Raw genomic sequence first — 19559 nt, forward strand, 5'->3', positions numbered from 1 at the left:
AATTACTACAGTCATTATGGAAAACAGTATGAAGATTCCTCAAAAAATTGAAAATAGAACTGCTGTGTGATTCAGCAATCTCGTTACTGGGTATATAGCGAAAGAAAAGGAAATCATCACGTTGACGAGACATCTGCACTCCCGTGTTCGTTGCAGCAATATTCACAATAGCCAAGATATGGAATCAACCTAAATGCCCATCTACAGATGAATGGATAAAGAAAAATGTGGCTTGTATATACAATGGAATACCATCCAGCCATAAAACAAAATGAAATCCTGTCATTTGAGGCAACATGGGTGAACCTGGAGGACATTATGTTAAGTGAAATAAGCCAGGCACAGAAAGACAAACACCACATCACCTCACTCAGATGTGGAATCTTAAAAAGTTGATTTCACAGAAGCAGAAACTAGAGTAGTGGTTACCAGAAGCTGGGGAGGGAAGGGGGTGTGGGGCAACGGGAGAGGTTGGCAAAAATGTAAAAAGTTACAGTTAGACATAAAGAACGAGTTCTGGTGTTCTATTACACAGTAGAGCGAGTATAGAAAATACCAATGTAGTGTATACTTCAAGATTTTAAATCTAGAAGATTTTAAATGTTAACACTGCAAAGAGATGATAAATGTTTAAAGTGATGAATATGGTAATTACCCTGACTTGAAGATTATACAATGTATACAGGGGTTGAAACATCACACGGTACCCCATAAATATGTACAATTATGTGTAAGTAATGCATTTTTAAATCATGAATGAAAAGAAAAAGAAGCTTAAGAGTGTGCCCGAAACTCTTACAGGTGGAAAGCTCTGTAAGGGTACAGCTCATTACTGTGCCGCCAGCCCTCAGTGTGATCTTGGCGCATGGAACTATGGTGATTCTATCCCCAGTGTGCAGAGTACCTCTGACACCCAACTCAATGAGCATTTATTAAATGTAAATAAAACCAACCAAACAAAAAGAAAACTGAGGTAAATACGAACAACCTCACATGGTTGTGGTGAGGCCTGAATAAAGCAGTCTGTATGAACACCCCAAATGAAAAGTGTCCATGCAAGAAGACACAGGAAACAAAATGCAAACACAAGTGAGAGACAGGGAGCAAACATCTTCTTCAATTATAACAGACTAAATAATCACATTTGCAATATACAGAGAGCTCTGATGAGACAACTCAAGAAACACATGCGAGAACAAACAACAATAGAAGAGCTAACAAACAATCTGAGCAGGCCATTTATAGAAATACAAATGGCCACTATGAAAGGAATAGGAGCTCCACATCACAAGTCATAATGGAATTAAGATAACAGTGAGATTCCACTTTTCAAACTGCAACCTGACAAACACTTAAAATTATAATGATACCAATCGGGTATCATATACTGAGGTTCTGACGCTGGTAGTGTGAATTGGCACAGATTCACGCTACGCGCCAAATGTGCACTCCACATTTGGAGTGCCATTTGTCAGGGATTAAACAGTTTTAATATATTTACCCTATGGTGCATCCCCAAATTCTTTCTTCCTCCTGACACCAATCATAACTAGAAGTAGGGTGGGAAAACTGATGCTTCCTAGACCAGAGCCCTGGGGGCTCAGATGCCACTGTCTCAAGGCCCATCACAGGGTCCTAAAAGGGTTCTGTCAAGCCCTTGACAGACCCCTGGGCATCCTCAAGGCCAGGACCTTGGAAGGCTCCCGTAGGCTGAGCCTGAGCCTTGACTGAGCAGCCTGACTCAAAAATTATAGCTAAAAATCTCAGGGCTCCGTGAGACACAGTTTTCTACATCCATGCTTCCCTCAAGCACCCTACGTTGGCTTCCACTAATGCACAGAAGAGAAACCTGGAGTTTGATTGTGGATCCCCAGCAATGCTGGGGTTCGGCTCACTGGGAATTTAGGGGTAGTTTCAGGGTTGTCTACTCACTGAGTTTCTTGACATGAAGATGGAGCTGGTGGGGGGAAAAATATAATTGGCAAGTACCCCGGTTTGAATTTCAGTAAACCTTAAAGATAACAATGCAGAAATAGATCTTCCCTTAAGTCTTTAGGCTTATATAAGTAGAGTAATGTGAAAATCAGAAACCATCACTTTCAATTCGTCATTTAATCATCTACATGAGAGTCGCGTTGTGGGGCTGGAAGCTGATTAGAGTGGGTTCAAGGGGGAGTCGGGAGAGAGGAAAGGGAAGCGATGATACTAGTCAATGAGGCATCTCAGCACGTGAGGGAGTTTACGAGAATGTATCATCAACTGCTTGAAAAGAGCATACTCATCTACAGGAGGGGAGGGTGAAGATCCAGGCCAGGGACACGGGGATGGATTTTCACAGGGGGGGACAGGCCCTGAGCCAGAGGCCCAGCACAATGAAGAGTTCTGCCGGCCTCTGACAATAAGTCCTTTCAGACACCACATGTACATCGCACTTCTCAGAAAACATGAACTTCACTGGCATTCCTGCTGCTGCTGAGTCCTGATCTGACTGTATGGAGAAAGCCGCATCCCCCAGACTGGTGCTCTCAGCTTTGCAAGGTGGGCAGCTGCAGTTTTTAGCCTTCCCAAGGAAGAGCAAACTCTTGAGGACCTGGTGAGCCTGATTTCCCTCCAGCGTGGCAGATAGTCAGCCCCAGGAGAGCTGGGATCTAGATCTCTAGAGTTCATTGCTGTATCCCCAGTACCTGCAACTGATCCTGGTGTACACAAAACAGGCCCCCAGCGAACACCCGACGAATGAAGGAAGCAATGTTAGTGCTGGCTAGAATGATTTTTCCCTATTTTCCTGAACGGAACTGGTTCAGCTAAAGACACTATGCCCTTGGTTTATTTTGCCAACACCATAGAGGACCAGGCTTGCCCAGGGAACCTGCTCTTCTGAGAGGGTGTTGGAGGAGCTGGTTCCAGGGAGCCCTGACATGTTTCACCAAGTGCTTCAGGTGAGAGCCTCTGCCTCTCTCACTGCTCACCGCCAAGCCCACCAAGAGAACCTCAGGCCAGGCCAGAATCCCCAGGGCTCCCAAGGGTCCAATTGTCACTCTGTTTTCCTCCCTAGGGGAGGATACCGGACACTCGGAAACTGAGACCACGGGGGCCGCAGACACAGAGCCGTGAACGGTGACCACGCCCCTTCGGCTGCTCCATGCCCCTGCTCACCCCAGTGGGCCTGAAATACATACTGGCACACTTGACTCTTTTGGTGTTATGATATTTGATGTCCCTCTCCACATGAATATCCACCTCCTGTGATTTATGGTTTGCCTCTTTCGGTGAAGGTGGCAGGGAAGGGGGTCGCTGTGGAGAGAGAGTTAGGCACGGGGTACCTAGCCAAATGGGTTACTGTCCTCGTACCTTGGAGCAGTACTGCATGTCCCCCAGTCACTTTTGCAATAGCACAATGGTTGATGGACAGTAAACATGCTACTGGTTTCAAACACTTCATATAGGGTGGCTGATGGGCACTGACTGAGTGATAGCCCTTGGGCCGGAGAGGAGGGCTGTAGGTTGAGGGACAGGGAGGTGAGGTCAGAAGGAGAGAAGATGTCACAGAATCCACAGGAAAGGCTTCAGAGGCATTAAGTTATAATCTGACCACAACAACCCCCACCTCAACCTTGGAGAGAGCCCCTCCAGCACATGGCCTCATATCCATCACCTCAGGTTGTTTGTCTCTTATTATGACACCGTGTCTCTTTGTAAGCTGCCCCTGATATATATTGCAAGAAAATAGCAGCAGTGGGAAGAGCTGAGTCTGGTGGATGCTTCCCAGAACTGGAAAAAGCCCAGGCTTCTCCGGGATGGCTCTGCTCCTGGCTAAGGTTCTGCCATGGGAGTCCAGCCACCTGCAGTCCCGATCCCCACAGCCTAATGGAACCACTGGGTTCCTAGGAAACTCACAAGTTCACAATGCCACCCCCCAGCTTGACGCATTTGGCTCTGAGACACGCCTGGGAAATGTGGAGTCCAGGGGTCCTGAGAGCCCCCTCCTTCTCTTCTGTTTTCTACTTTTAGAGTATTGTACTACTGAAATATTTCAAACCTACAGAAAAACAGAGAGAAGAATACAGCAGCCACCATCCCTACTTAAAAATGCTTTGCTATATGTGCTTCACATCTCTCTCTGCTTTTGAGTTAAATACATTTTGGAGACACACAAACCATCCCCAATCTATACTCACTCCTCTCCTCCCTAGAGTAGGTCCCCCATCTTAGGCGTCTGAACACTTCTGGGTCTCCACGCAGCTTCAGAGCAGCTCCTTCTCTGGCATGGGTGCTCCCACGTTGCCTTAGAGATGTTTCTGTGATGCCTGCTGGAGAACTTGGGGGGATTCTACCCAGAATCCCAACCCAGAGGGTAAAAGCAAGAACATCTCTGCAGCTTTCACAGATAACTCTGGACCCAGCCCTCTCCCACCTGTACCCGTGTTCTCCTGAGGTGGGCCCTGTCTCAGTGGGAGAGCTGAGCCCTTCACCTCTGTTTTACCAGGAGAGGCCTGGAGCACCATCCTGGGTCCCAGTCCCACCCGAGTGATGGGTGTGTGCTTCAGTCACAGGGAGCAGGTCCCTTTTCAGCTGCTGTGACATCTCATGGGCTCAGTGGCCAGGAGTAGCTGGTAGGTTTGGGGAGGAAGGCAAGGCCAGGCAGACTCGAGTCCTGGGCCTGCTGGAAGAGAGGTGGGATCAGATAGATGCAGGCCACATAGCACAGTCCAAGGTGGCCCATCAACCATTTGCTCCGTCAAGGTGGTTGATACCCAGAGGGGCTCACTATACTGAGGTGGGTGCAGGAGCAGGTGTGGTGGGCAGCCTTCCAGAATGGCTTCCAAGGATCCCCCTTCCTGGCACCCATGCTCCTATGGAATTCCCTCCCCTTGAGGGTGGGCTGGACCTAGTGGCTTGCTTCTAACCAACAAAATTTGGCAAAGGTGATGGCGTGTCATTTCCATGCTTAGGCTATAACAAGACTGTGACTTCTGACCTGCTGGCATTCATTCTCTCCCTCAGGCTCTTCCTGCACGCGTGTTTGCCCAGATGGAGAAGGCCAGCTGGCGAGGAGCTGATGAAAGTCTCTGGCCAACAGCCATAGAGGAACTGAGGCCCTCAGGCCAGCGACCCACTAGAGCCTGCCAACAATCACATGAGTGAGCTTGGAAGTCTATCTTTCCCCAGCTGAGCCTACAGATGAGGAACTGGATCCTGCCAACAGCCGCATGAGTGAGCTTGGAAGTCAATCCTTCCCCAGTCAGGCCTACAGATGAGACTGTTGTCCCTGGGCTGGCAGCCTTGTGAGAGACTGGGAAGTAGAGGATCCAGTTAAGCCATACCCGGATCCCTGATCTACAGAACTCTCAGAGAAAAACTGCTTATCATTTTAACTTGATATGCTTGGGGTAGTTTTTTATGCAGCAATCAATAACAATTAAGACAGCAGGAATATCTGGGGGCTAGGGACTGGGTGCAAGACACAGAAGGCTCCATTAAGGCTGGGAGGGGTTCTCAGGTGCCAGGGTGGTGCATGGTGCGCCCACGTTTTAGTCAGACCTGGGGTCAAGTCCCAGCTTTGTCAGTAAATATCTGTGTGACCTTGGACAAGTATCTTGAAGTCTCCGGCTCCAGATTACACCCTGTAAAATTTGACTGACATTGAACTTGCAGGACCGTTGGAAAGATAAGTGTCAGCTTATGTAATCCACACGACAGAGTGTCTGATGTGTATTAGGCCCTCAGTAAGTGGCAGCCATGAGTAGTAATATAGTTGACCTGGGACCCTGCATCCTCCTCTTGGGAGCTCCCGGGTGACTCCGGGTCATTCCAGTGCCAAAAAACAAAAACCAAAACCCAAAAACAGTGCAGGAAAAATATCTTCCTAGCAAGTAGGACAAAGGCGTCTGTTCTCCAGGAAGAGAGGCCCATCACAGTGGATACTTTTCCAAAAATTCTGGTGTGAGGGAGGCAGCCCCAGCAGGCTGCAGCTCATAGGCCATATCCCTTATGCAAAGGACCAAATGCTCTCCTCCCTCCCTCCCTCCCTAGATTCCTCTCTTCCTCCCTGCCCCCATCCATCCCTTCCTCCCTCCCTCCCTCCGTCACTCCCTTCCTCTCCCTCTCCTCACTTTCTCTCTCTCTCTGCCTTCCCCTCTCGCCGAGGCCTGATTCCAATATCTTTACCCCACAATTCTGCCTCTTCACACTCATTTGACCCCTACTAGAAACCCAGCCCTTCTTTATGTCATCCTGGTTTTATTCTAGATGAACCCATATCAATGTCCTCATTATGCACTGTTTGCCAGCTTCCCCAGCCACACAGGATGGTATCCGATCACTGGCTTCTAGGGAACAGCTTGGGTGGGCATCACTCTGACCTCACCATTGCGCTTTAGAGTTGGTGTGTTTAGAAGGCCCAGTGTATGCACTGTAGAAAACTGCACAGGGACGGGAGCCCAGGACTCATCCTGGACCAGCAATGGAGACTTCCTTCTATACCATCCAGATCCAAATGAGATGATTCTGTGAGAGCCCCTTTCTATCCAGGACATTGTCTCTCATCCCTCAGACTTTCCATCTGGACATCTCAACTCTGCTCCTCTCCTACAGCCTCGTCTCTCTCCACAGCGTGGCTAAAATTTGCCTTCAGTACCCCCGAAAATAGCTGTTAATTCTGCCCTGCCTCAGGGCCTTTGCATTATGGCTCTCCTCTGGAGCCACCATTTCCTTGCTCAGCCTGTCACTTGTCCTTTTGATCTCTGATGTTCCTACCCTCAAAAAGAACACGTCCTTCTTCCCTTGGTAACATGTCTCCCCTCCACCATGCCAGTCCCAATCACAGTCTCCTCACTTGACTGTCTCACCATAGTGATACATTTTCTCTCTGTGTTACCTTGAGGAAGTTGCTATACCTTTCTGGGCTTCCATTTCCCTATCTATATGATGAAATATTTGACTAACACACAAACATACTGTGTACTCTTCTCTATCATAGCATTTCTCATGCTAGACTGCCCCCTCTGGCAGCTTAATTTGCATGACTGTCCTCACCCAGGTTCTCATCTCTGGAGCATGAGCTCTGCCTTGTTAGTCCTGGAACAGCCAGTACCTGGACACAGGGCTTTACCTACAGCACGGCACCAATAAACCTTTATTGAAGAAAACAAATCAATGAGCATGTGTCCACCAGAGCTTTGCTGTGCCTGGACTCTCTGATCTGGGATAAGGGTGAGAAGTATTCCTTTTATTTCCTCTAGCTTGGAGCCCAGAGCCTCCTGCTCAGCAGGAACCAGATGTTTTCAATGTCTGGACTCAGAGCTGTCTTCCTGGAGGTGCTGAGGCCTTTTCTCCAGTCCAGAAATGAATCTGGGCTGGCTGAATGTGGGTAGGGCAAGGGATATGAGACTGTGTGGGACACAGATATGGATGAAGCTGCCACTGTAGCTTAAGAGGCTCAGGCCCAGGGGACAAGATTTGAGGCCACCTTGTTCCCTCCTTCCTTCCCTTGGGCTCAGAGGGAGGACCCTTGTCTGCAACGATACCACCGTCCAACCAATCCAGTGGGTTACGAGGGGCCATAACTTGGAAAACAGCAGTCAAAACCCAAGTAGTCATAGGGGATTTAATAGAGCAGGGCTTGGTGTCAAGGGGACCTCACCTCTAAAACACACACACACACACACACACACACACACACACAGAGAGAGAGAGAGAGAGAGACAGAGAGAGAGAGAGAGAGAGAGAAAGAGAGAGAGAGAGAGAGCGAACGCCAGCCTGGAGCCCCCTGTTCACCACCCACCAGAGGCTGATTCACACACCAACACAGCCTCACACATTATATCCTCAGAGGCACAACACTGCTGCTGATTGGGACCTGGCTGCCATGAACCTCCTCAAGCTGTTTGCTGTGATGACCCATTTGCACAGGCTCTTGATTTCTAGAACCTCTCAGGTTCAGGGGAAGACAGGTTTCATCTGTCAGTGTTAGTCACAGTGTCCTCCCTTCACTGTCTCACCATAGTGATACATTTTCTCTCTGTGTTGAGCAAGTTGCTATACCTTCTTGAGCTTCCATTGCCCTATTGACATACTGAAATCTTTGGCTAAATGACCTCCAAATTCTTGTTCTTCTCACACATTTAGTGACCCCGTGGCTTAGGGGACTACTACATTCACAGCTACCTGCTGTGTCAGCCAGCTGCCTAGTTGCAAGTCCCCTGATGGCACTGCTGCCCTGGGGGCTATTATGCCTCCCATGAGCCCCATTGCAAGTATTTTCAGTATCCTCTAAGGATACCCTCACTACCCCCTAAGATACTGCATGACACCATTGGCATCTCACCCTGCCTAAAATTGCTTCTTTTCATACCCCAGAGCTACAGAATGGGTGGGCAGCTGACTAGAGTCTCCCAGGCTAGGTCCTTAGGAGACTATATATATATGTATCACTATCTTATGTCCCATGACAGACTTCAGAAACTCTAGGCCAGGGCCTGGATGCAACCCAGAAGATCCTCAAGGGCTGGACCTTGGAACTCAGGCTAGCCCCTGATTGAGCACCCTCATTCTAGAGAACTGCAGCAGAGGAACTCAGAGTCTCCACTGGGACACACGTTTCTGATCCAGCACCGTTTCATGGTAGCCAACCTTGACTGCTACAAGTGCACAGAATAGAAACTGGGTCTGCTTATTTGCAGTTTCCAAAATCACCTCAGTGGCCTGGTCTTTGTGCTTCAAGTGCTGTTCCTCCTCTCCCTTTCCCTGTCTAATTTCTTTCCTCACGCCTTTCAGGCACCTAATCCTCTGGGAAACCTCCACTGACTCCATTAACATCCCCAAGGCTGAGTGGGTGCCCTGTCTGAGCCTTCTCATGGACCCCGAAACTTCCTCCTGTCACTCTCTGTTGTACTCTGTTGTGCCTTTCTCAGCCTCTCCCCACCCAGCCCACTGGAGGCGACATCTGAGTATGGGCTTGCAGGCATGACCAGCCCTGGACCTTCACAGATTCTGTAAGGAAGGCTTTGTCTCAAAACCTTTTATATATCAACCACCAGATTAGCAAATAGTTAAAGGGATGAATAACATCAAGAGCGACGGTGAAGGACAATGAACACTATCCTACACTGCTCCTGAGAGAATAAATTGCTGCCACCTCTTTTCAGATCCATTTATCAACGGCTACTCAGTGTTGAAATATTTGTAGGGTTTTGTGCCAAAATTCTATTTATGTGTATCTCTTCTAGAGCGACACATCCTCTGCAAACAAAGATATTGGAAAAACTTTTGAGAACTTTAAAAGTTGAGGAAAAAAATGTGAAGGTCCTTGTGTATGGAAGTAGTTAAAGAATTATGGCATATCACTTAGAACACTATGCAGAAGTTAAAAATGATGAGACAGTTCTCCATGAACTGACAGGAGAAGTTCACCCAGACTTGCTGTAAAATGCAAAAATCAAGTGCCACACAATACGTGCATCCTGAGCCAGTCTGTATCTTATGGCCCCATAAAAGACAAGCGTATGTTTCTATTAGTGCATGTATGTGTATGTAAATGCATCGATTGAGGAATTTTTGAGGAAACACATTAAACCATTGCTGAGGGGGCTGGTGACGGAGAGGGGTGGACAAGGGAGACTATTGTTTTGTCTGTATTGTTTTCATACACGAGGATTATTTGCATAAATAAGACAGTATTGTAAACAGGTGATATACCTGTACTTACTAGGTCTTTAATAAAAAGAAACTGTTATTATTTGTCATAATAAGAATCACTTCGCCTCTTGCAGGAGCTTCTGCGAAACTTGCGTGCAAGTCAACGAAATTGTATTGAGATCCTCTCATGTACCCAGTGCTTTCACACATATAATTTACCTGTAATTTATCCAGTTCAATCTCAGGGCTGGCAAAATCCAGTTGACCCCTACTCCCTGTAACAACCACTCCAAATTAAAAAATCAACTTTTTCTTGAATCCCTACACACTTGTTTAATCTCAGCTGAGGGAGACATGGTATAAAGCTACGAGGGGCTGACCTCGTAGCCTTTCTCGATATAAATCCCATCCATCCACAGGGTGGTGCGGGGCGGGTCTTATCACCATCACTCACAGCCCTTCCCTGACTCTTTGCAGAACTCTGGGTCCATTCAAGGCAGTTGCACAGAGGCAGCTTATTTTCTCAAAGGAGATTCAGAAAAAAAAAAGGAAATGTTACTGGGCGGGACAACAGGGTTGTCCACCTCACCTGCCATCAGGCTTCGGGGACTGAGCAGCCTGGCCTCCTGGGCCAGCCCGGGACTCCTTTCTTTGAAAAACCGCTAGGTTGGTGTATTAGTCCGCTCGGGCTGCCATAACAAAATACCACAGGCTGGGTGACTTAAACAACAGACATTTATTTTCTCACAGTTCTGCCAGCTGGGAAGTCCAAGATCAAGGTGCTGGCCGATTTGGTTTCTGCTGAAGGCTCTCCTCATGGTTTGCCTCCTTCTTGCTAAGACGTCACATGGCCTTTCCTGGGTGCATGCAGTGCAGAGAAGAAGAGACCTCCCTGCTACCCAAATGTCCCTGCAGAAGCACAGTTGTCACTACCTCGAGATACTGACAGATACAATGAGCTCTGTGGCGTCTCTTCTCATAAGGACACTAATCCTGTAGGAGCAGGGCTCCACCCTTATGACCTCATTTAACCTTAATTGCCTCCTAAAGCCTCTAGCTCCAGATACAGTCCCATTAGGGGTCGGGGCTTCAATATATTAATTGCAGGGCGGGGGAACGCAATTCAGTCCACAGCAGTTGGCAAGGTTTTGTGTTGCGGACCCTCACTTTCTGGCGTTTCTGATTCCCTGCTGTTCAAATGTCCCTGCAGAATCACAGATGTCACTACCCTGACATACTGACAGATACAACTGGCCCCTCATCCTGCCTAAAGCCACCTACTACCACATCCCAGGGTTACTAATGAGGAGGTGAACTGGGTCTCCTAGCCCAGAGGCCCGGCTGATCGATGTCACTGCCTTAAGCGTCATCATAGACGTCAGAAACCCTGGACCAGGCCCTGGGTGCACCCTGGAATAGCTTAAGAGGGCAGAACCTTGGGATGGTTCCCCAGGAGTGATTCCAGCCCCTGAGAAAACTCACTCAAAAACTGCAGCAGCAGGGGCTCAGGGACTCCGTGGGGCACGGTTTTCTCATCTTGTTCTGCCACCTGGTGGCAGTTGGCTGCGTCTACAAGGAAACAGGTGGAAGCTCCATAAAACCTGGGCCTTTCTTCCTGGGAATTTCCAGCAGTTTGGAACAACCTTCCTACTTAGAAAATGAGTTTCTTTATATGAGAATGAAAGTTGTGCTGGGAGATGACAGTGTAGTTACTTGGGTCTTCATTTCTATTCATTTTTTAAGTTAACAATTTAAACCTAGCTTTTATTAAGCATTTAAATACAACTTGCCGGTTTGGTCATTTTAATCACATAGCTAGTCATATACAACTATAAGAAACATTACTTTCACTTGTTCATTGGTTCATGTTCAATTAACTCCTAAGTTTCAGTGGAGTGGTGTAGGAGAAAGCCTAACTGGAGTAGATTCAAGGAGAGAAAAGGGAGATAGGACAGACAATGAGACCTGCTCACTTCTTGGAGGAGTTTCTAAGTATTTCACAACACTTGCCTGGAAATTCACAAGATTTTGAGGAGAATTTTTGTACACGTCAGAGGGAATTACGTATTTACATGAAAGCTAAGGGCTCTTTACCTCTGATTTGCACACGAATCCTATGAATCACAGGGCTGTCTGAAACCATTTGAACCCTCCTCTCTGCAGCATACGGTACAAGTGACCACTCAGGCTGTGTTTCAGCACCTCTAATGTTGCTAATCTCATTACCTTACAAAGCCAGCGATGGCCTGGCTGGTGGGAAGGACATCTTCGTGTGAGTCCCATCTGCAGCATCTGTGGTCTTGTTAACCTCTTTCCCGGCTCCTTCCCCTGACCTTGTCTCTCTGCAATTCTGGGTCCATCTAGAACTCTGGTGTGACACCCCAAGAGCAGATGTGATGGCTGAGGTCCAATCATAGGCTTTTAGTGGATATGTATTCAGGGGCAAACACATAATGCTGCATTTACCTCCACACTATGAAGATATACAGAGCCTTCAATACACATCGATTACTCATAAATGTCTACTTCTTAGGTATCAGGATCACTCTTACAATTTCATCTACAAGGTCCAACTGTTAAATGTGAGAAAAACAGTGCACAGTAATGTGACAATAGTGTCCACATGAATGAAGTAGTTCCAGTTTCCCTGGGACTGAGAGCTTTCCCGGGACAGGGGCCTTTAAGTTTTAAAACCGGAATGGTCCCACTCATGGCAAACTAGGACCATGTGTGACCTTGGCATGCAATGAACCATTCATGGCCAAATAAAATGAGCTACCTGTAGAAGACCTCTACACATCATGTTCTCTCGAGGAGGACCCTCGGGGCTGTTCTGCTCAGCAAGCAGAAGCGTGACTCGAGCCTGCTGGGAGGGCCAGGAGGAAGAAACAAAGGAAAGAAAGATTGGAGGAGTGGGAGTAAGAAACACAGGAACAGACGGAATGTGACATACCAGAAATGTATCCCCTGCTGGAGCACAAGGCTGTAGGAGGGAGGGACGATGGGGCAGGGGCAGAGGGGCTGAATGGGGCGTGGAGGGGGCAGGCCCTCGGCCTCTTTGCACCCGGCAGAGTGACGAGCTTCGCCGGTGTCTTCAACGAAGTCCTGTCGGTCCCTACCGGCACATCACACACTCCTGGAAGCATGATCTTCACTCCCTTCCTTCCACCTGCTGACCTGGTGAGTCTGGCTTCCCTCCATTGTCCTGGAATGTCCCCTAGGAGGTTGGGCTTTGGTCTGTGCAGGTCACTGCTGCATCCCCAGCCCCTGCAAGAGGGCCAGAGACACACACAATAGTTGCTGGGTGGGGTGAAGGAAGCCAGGGATGGGAGGGAGCATTAGGATCTGGCTATTTAGTCTGTCTTTCAGAATGTGAAAGGGCTGCAAAACGACCCTGAGGAATGGGTGGCTGTGTCTGACGCCACGGAGGACCCATCCGGTGGCACAGGCTTGCCCAGGGAACCTGCTCTTCTGCGAGGGTCTTGGAGGAGCCGGTTCCAGAGAGCCCTGGCATGTTTCACCAAGTGTTTCAGGTGAGAGCTCCTTCGGAGCACGCCTCTGCCTCTCTCACTGCTCGCCACCAAGCCCATCCGCCTCCCCTTCCTGTTCCACCAAGAGAACCTCAGGCCAAGCCAGAAATCCCCAGGGCTCCCGAGGGTCCACTTGTCACTCTGCTTTCCTCCCTAGGGGAGGATACCGGGCACTCGGAATCTGAGACCACCGGAGCCACAGACACAGAGCCATGAACGGTGACCAAGCCCCTTCTGCTGCTCCATGCCCCTGCTCGCCGCAGTGTCCCAGTCACCAGGCCTGAAATAAATGCTGGCACGCTTGACTGTTTTTGCTTTGTGGCATTTGATGTAACTTTCAACACGTCGGGTGAAGTGGGAGTGGTCAGCTTTGGTGGTGGTGGGGTTGTGGAGGGAGAGAGCTAGCATCTTCCTGAGCCCTGTTAGGCTGTCCGCCCTCCTCCTCGAGGCAGCGCTGCTTGTTCCTGGGTCCTGGTGGCGATGGGCTGTGGCCAATCAATGGTGAGTTTTCCACAGCTGGCAGCTCGGACCCTGGTGAGGCACTTACATGCAGGAATGACGACGGAATAACATCTCTCTTCCCCCAGCAATGCGCACGGTCTTCATATCGGAGGAAAACTGGGCAGTGTTTATATGCAGAGGCGGGAGGGTCATGTGGAGGAAGAATCTGTGGATCTCAGAAAAGGCATTAACCCCTAAACTGACAAAGAGCTCCCAGGCCCCCCTACCCCACCGCAAGAGAGAGAGCCCTTCCAACAGACGACCTCGTCTCCACCTACGCGTTGCTCGTTTTCATAAGAGGAGGGCTTCATTTTTTCTTTCTTTTGCCTTCCTGAGGTGACCTTGATATGTGCTGCAACACAGTATCAGCAGGAGAATTCTACAAAGGGGGTTGGAGCATACTTGTTCCTTTAACCTGTTAGAAATTGCAACACAAGCAATCACCAAGGTCAATGGAGAGACGGCGGGCCTTTCAGACACACAGTAATGGGTGGGAGGACCTCACAGAGGCCCACGTCAAATTACATTGATCTGTTCACTTTCTGAATGAGGAGCTGAGTCCCACGGGTGCTCCCAGAGTGGGGTCCTCAGCTTTGCAGGCTGGGCAGCTCTAGTGTCTCAGCATGCCCAGGGGACAGCAACACTCTCGAGGACCCACTCCCACAGGAGGCTGACCCATCCTCCCTGCTGGCACATTCTCTTGCTTCTCTCTCATTAAGACTGAAATAAATCTGGAAGTGTTTGGTGGTTTTATGGGTCAATATCTTTTTACACCTCTTGAGAAAGATATTTAATCGGGATAGGGTTGGCTGTTGGAGATGGAGAGGAGCTTAAGACATACATACGTATCTGGACTCATGTATGTGGTTATAGTCATGGGACAGCATTGCTTCTTCCTAAGTACCTGTTAGGACTGTGACCTATAGACAATGCTTTTTCCACAGGTATCTTGCTATGGCCTTGAGGAGGGCAATTCAGTGTAACAATGCAGAAAAAATATCATCTCTCCCTGCCCAAATGCATATACCCTTCATAACTGACAATGTTTATTGGCTTCAAATGGAGAGCAGGCGGCTCGGGATTTTGAGGAAAGGCCTCAGATTGAGGTACACATAATCAGCTCCAACTATCCCCACCCCAAACTAAGACAGAGCCCTTCCAAAACCCTTTCCCCATTCACCTCAGATTGCATGTTTTCACATTATGATACCCCCACCCCCACTGCACCACCCCACCACCACCACCACCTCCAGCCTTTCCTTGACGCCAGCAGAGGAATGCAAGTGAGGGGTTACAGTGTAATATTCTCTGGATCCTACATATCCTAGGGTAGGCCCTGAGAGAACTGGTGCCAGGATCCCACAGTGTTTGTGACGAAGGGCACAAAAAGGCTTTGCAAGGCCAACGGGCAGGGATGTAAAACATGCATGTCAATCTCTAAGAACTGAAGATAATTTTAGGCTAGTTATTATGATCACTATACCCACCAGGACCATTCTAAGGCATGGAGAATACTGGTCCTTTGAAAACCACGCTGGTGCTGGCCACTGTAATTTTGGTAGGGTTTGGCCTTCATCAGATCCTTCCCTGCTCAGGAAACCTCCATAGCTTCCTGGGCCAGCCAAATCAGGTTTGAGCCATCAAGGCTCTTCCTGGCTTCGCTCCAGGCTAGTCTAGACTTATCTCTCACCCCTACAAACAGTTTTCCCTCTGTATAAACAGGATAACTTATCCATTCTAACATCTAGGCCTTTGTTTCTTAAAACAACAACAACAACTAACCGTAGTCATATAACCCACTGAGCTCTGTCTCTCCCAGGCTTCAGGGGCGAACATCTGCTCAGTAGCTTCTGGGAATCAGCTCCGGTGAGTGCAACACTTACCCCCTTGCCCATCACTCCTTACGGATGCTGAATGTAAAGCACCTGCTGTGTGCACTGTAGAAACTGCACAGGGACAGGAGGCCAGGACAGCTTCTAGGCATGCCACAGGTGGAGTCTTTTCTCTGGCTCATCCAAGAGCCAAGAGCAGCTGCTTTCCAAAGAGTCACTTTCCACTACACGTTTACTTTATTACTATTATTTTTTAATCTCTCAGCTGTGAAGTCCACCAACTGAGGATCCTGGCTCCTGTACAGGTCCCCACCCCCAGATCATCTCTCCCCAGTCTCCCCAAATTCTAACCTTCCAGTTCCACTGAAGAACATGGAATGCTCCCGATGCCCACAATACCCTGCCTCGGGGACACACTGCACTTACTACTCCTTCAGTGCTTCAGATCTCAGATGGCATCTCACTACAAGGAAGCCTTCCTTGTTCCCAGACATCCACCACCCAGGGTTAAGTGTCTCTCCTCCGGGCTCCCATACCACCTGGTCCTTATCCTCATCCCGGCAATTAATACATCAAACTGCCACATCTGGCTGATTTACTTACATGACAGCCCCATCTAGACTCTCAGATGTGGGGCAGAGGCTGAGTCTGGTGCATTCCTCTATCTCCAGCGCCCGGCACAGTGCCTCACATATAGTAGGTAGTCAGTAAATGTATGTTGAATAAATGAGTCGATGAGCAAGGTGTCTAATTCATTGAATTTTTATTTTTCCCTACATTCTGGAGAACTAGGCAAATACAAGCAGAGAGCGGTTGTAATTTTGTGCAACAGACACTGACCGGCTTTTTATTTTATCTTTTTATATTTGGGGGAGGGGGGGAATGATTGTACTGGTAAAGTCTCTCAAACCTCCAAAGAACAGCTTATTCCAATGCTATAATAAGTTACAGGCATAAAATGATATACTCTCCCAATTTCTTTTATGAAACAGCAAATCTCTCCTGCTAAAACCGAAACAGAGAACAATAAAACATTTGACCAACGTCATTCATAGACCTAGATGTTCAACTTAAGTACTCAATCAAGTGTCTATGGAACAAAGGATTTTGAAAAAAATGCTTAGGTATGGCGTTTGTTTCAACTCTGATATAATTCTGTCATCATGTAGTTTTAACCAGTTTATTTCCTGTAAAATGATCATCATTATAAAAGAAAGTTAATTAAGGCAAACAAAACTTTGCAGTATGCAAATTGAAAGCTAAATCACTGAGAAAGACAAATAGAACTGGAACACAGATACCATGGGCGGCAGGTTCTCCCTAACCCCACTCTACCCCTCGACTCTTGAAAAGTCAGGACCCCAGCACCCACTGCTGTGGGGCCCTTTTGACTACCCACAGCAAAACAAAGTGAAGACTCAGCCCCAGCCTTCACTGCTGGCAGGAGGAGTCCCTGACACTAGCCTGAGATTGCAACCACACTGGCACTGTCCCAGGTACTGATACTTGCTCCAGCCATGGCTCTAGCCCTGGCACTGGCAACTGGCACTTGCATTGGTGCTGGTGCTGATGCTTGCTTCAGCCATGGCATAGGCCCTGGAACTGGAACTGGCACTAACACTGGCACTTGTCACGTCACCAACGGCAGCTGCCATCTCGGGCACGGGGTATCTCCTCCTCTTCTCTCAATGCCTCATTTACTGCCACGGAAAGGAACTGGGGTGGGTGTCATTCACTTTGGCCACAAACTCCGGGACTTCCATCTGTCTTGTTTCCTTTGAGAGCCCCCACAAGAATACCTAGAGCGTGGGATTGCTGTGGGACACCTATTTGTGCACCAGATACTCCTGCTGCACACTAGCTTTGGTGATGAGCTTCATGGACTCCCCAAAGACGAAATGCTTTTTAGACGAAATGTGCCTCCAACACCCTCAACACCTCCCAGACCACCTCCTCGGGGACACAGCTGGCCTGCATGAAGATCGAGTCCAGAGTAATCATCAGGAGCCGGGTCTTTGGTGTGCCCTGGTCGCCTGTCAGGCCCCAAACCAGGGCAGGATCGATTTTTCTGATCAAGACATAGGAGTGCTCTGCTGGATCAAGTTCCTTCAGATAGAACCCAAAGACTAACTCGGGGAGGTCAGAGGCTTTCTTGAAAATCTCAGGGAGGAAGCTCCTGTACCTTTTGATGACATACTTCAGCATGTCTGCCCTTTTGATCGCCACCGTCTTCCGGTTCTTAACCAGCAGGTACTGCACCAGCTCAGCTACTTTCTAGCTCACAGGGCCCCTGGGCATGCGCATCAGGGATGTCGGGGGCCGGAGGGGTACTGCGGGGGCGGGGGGCGGCGGGGGCGCGGGGCGGGGCAGACAGTTGCCTAGGGGTTTCTGGGGTCCACAAAGGAACTTTCAGAAGCACCTGAGCAGGGGCTCCATGCCTCAGAAGAAGTGCTCCCAGGGCTCCGGGGAGCACTTGGTGTCCCCGCTGCAGGCGCCCCCGTGGGGGTTTCTTGGGCAAGGAGGAGAGGAGCAGGCCACCGGGCCTCTGAGACCCGCAGGCCCTGGGTGTCACCTCTACCGCGGACGTTCTCACCTGCGGCTTTGGCTGGCCCAGGAAGCAGGAACTCTGGGAAGAGATGCGCGTCCACGGGCATTCGGCGGCCGGAGCGCTGTGTGCCAGGCCGAGAGGACAGTGACGTCGCCGCGGCTGCTGCGGCGGCTGCTAAGAAGACCCGGAGCCCCAGGGTCTTGAGTCGGAGACCGCCGCCCTCAGACCGGGAGGAGGAGGAGAAGGAGGAGGAGGAGGAGGAGGAGGAGGAGGAGCAGGAGGAGGAGGAGCAGGAGGAGGAGGAGGAGGAGGAGGAGGAGGAGGAGGAGGAGGAGGAGGAGGAGGAAGAAGCGGGAGGGGAGGGGGCTAAGCCTCCGCCGCCCGGGTCTTCCCGGAGCTGTGGGAATGGGCGGGCGCCGCCCCGCAGTGCCTCTTCTGGCAGAAAACAGTACCGCAGGCTACAGCCTGAGGGATGCGGGGGCGCTGCTCCCAGAGGTGGGGCTGCTCATGTGAGGCTTGAAAGAGACCATAAGCCTAAAAGCCAGGCCCAGTGTAAGCGCTTAATAACTGTTACCTGTTGTTGTGATGAATCCGATCATTCTGGATTATCTTCGTATCCCTCCTTCTCTCCTGTGGAGAAGGCTCCTAAGAGCGTAGGCATTTCTGTCCAGCGGCTGCCTCTGCAGCTTCCTCTTCAGATCATCTACCTGAAGTTGCTTTGCTCAGTGCCTGGCCTAGAGTAAGCACTTAGTGAGTTTTCCTTTGCGTTCGTTTCATTATTATAGTGTACATCGCATCTACATTGCTTGCACCCTGTGTGGTCATCTAGATGTGGAGGAAGGACCCGGGAAACAAGTGACCTCCATGGAGAACTGAAGATGTGTTTCCTTTTCTTTATGATCAGTGGATCTGGGGTGCACAACATCAGTTCTCTTGCGTATTCTTTCTCTCCTACACAGTCTGGAAAGTTATTGTTAATTGTAATCTAACTTTGCAAACCACCATTCCCATAATGACATCCTCTTCTTGCCTCTCTTACTCTCATGTCACTGCGCCTCATCCTTTCTCTACAGAGCGCTCTCTCCCATTTCACCTCTCATCTGCGATTCGGGGACCTTAAATCGACTCCTGCTTTGAGGTCAGCCCCTAGGAAGCCTGCAAATAAATAGCAAGAAGACTCCTCCACCCTAGCAAGTGCATTCTCTTATTGTATCGTGGTACAACTTAGCATTCCTTTCTTTCATCCTAACCTTTCTAGACAGTAACCAGTATAGCCTCCTCACACATAACAAAACGGTCGACGTCGTCGTCGTCGTCGTTGTTGTTGTTGTTATTGCTGCTATTGAGACGGAGTCTCGCTCTTGTCACCCAGGCTGGAGTGCAGTGGTGCGATCTTGGCTCACTGCAACCTCCGCCTCCTGGGTTCAAGCTTCTCCTGCCTCAGCCTCCTGAGTAGCTGGGATTACAGGCGCCCGCCACCACGCCCGGCTAATATTTGTACTTTTAGTAGAG

General features: G+C 49.3%; 2 protein-coding genes and 1 long non-coding RNA gene across 7 annotated transcripts in view; 1 reads left to right on the forward strand and 2 right to left on the reverse strand.

Annotated features, from left to right (window-relative positions):
- The window catches only part of DMRTC1 (DMRT like family C1), a 71813-nt gene extending 53458 nt beyond the window's left edge, over positions 1–18355 (reverse strand). For all 4 annotated transcript variants that reach the window (NR_170342.1, NM_001386924.1, NM_001386923.1 and 1 more), the window contains exon 1: positions 18093–18355. The gene's annotated coding sequence lies outside the window, so the exon portion shown is untranslated. The remainder of the gene's footprint in view (positions 1–18092) is intronic.
- On the forward strand, positions 12724–13476 carry FAM236A (family with sequence similarity 236 member A). Of its 2 annotated transcripts, none has more exons than NM_001348070.2 (3): positions 12724–12816; positions 12994–13169; positions 13324–13476. In NM_001348070.2, exons 1-3 carry the CDS (start codon positions 12781–12783, stop codon positions 13349–13351), a joined length of 240 nt encoding a protein of 79 aa, NP_001334999.1. In that variant the 5' UTR covers positions 12724–12780; the 3' UTR covers positions 13352–13476. The 2 variants fall into 2 exon arrangements, with proteins under 2 accessions (NP_001334999.1, NP_001335000.1); NM_001348071.2 differs by having other exon boundaries at positions 13006–13169.
- FAM226A (family with sequence similarity 226 member A) lies at positions 16246–18268 on the reverse strand. The gene has a single exon (NR_026595.2). It is a non-coding gene; the product is annotated as a family with sequence similarity 226 member A (long non-coding RNA).
- Positions 18356–19559: the final 1204 nt, after the last annotated feature.

The sequence above is a fragment of the Homo sapiens genome, chromosome X (genome assembly GCF_000001405.40).
Source record: "Homo sapiens chromosome X, GRCh38.p14 Primary Assembly".
NCBI classification, from domain to species: Eukaryota; Metazoa; Chordata; class Mammalia; order Primates; family Hominidae; genus Homo; species Homo sapiens.

Bases quoted from the DNA above. Each gene is read 5' to 3' on its own strand.
- FAM236A (NM_001348070.2), top strand. From the start codon at position 12,781: ATGATCTTCACTCCCTTCCTTCCACCTGCTGACCTG. The intron at 12,817-12,993 runs GTGAGTCTGGCT...CTGGCTATTTAG, and splicing joins TCCTTCCACCTGCTGACCTG to TCTGTCTTTCAGAATGTGAA. The intron at 13,170-13,323 runs GTGAGAGCTCCT...TTTCCTCCCTAG, and splicing joins TGTTTCACCAAGTGTTTCAG to GGGAGGATACCGGGCACTCG.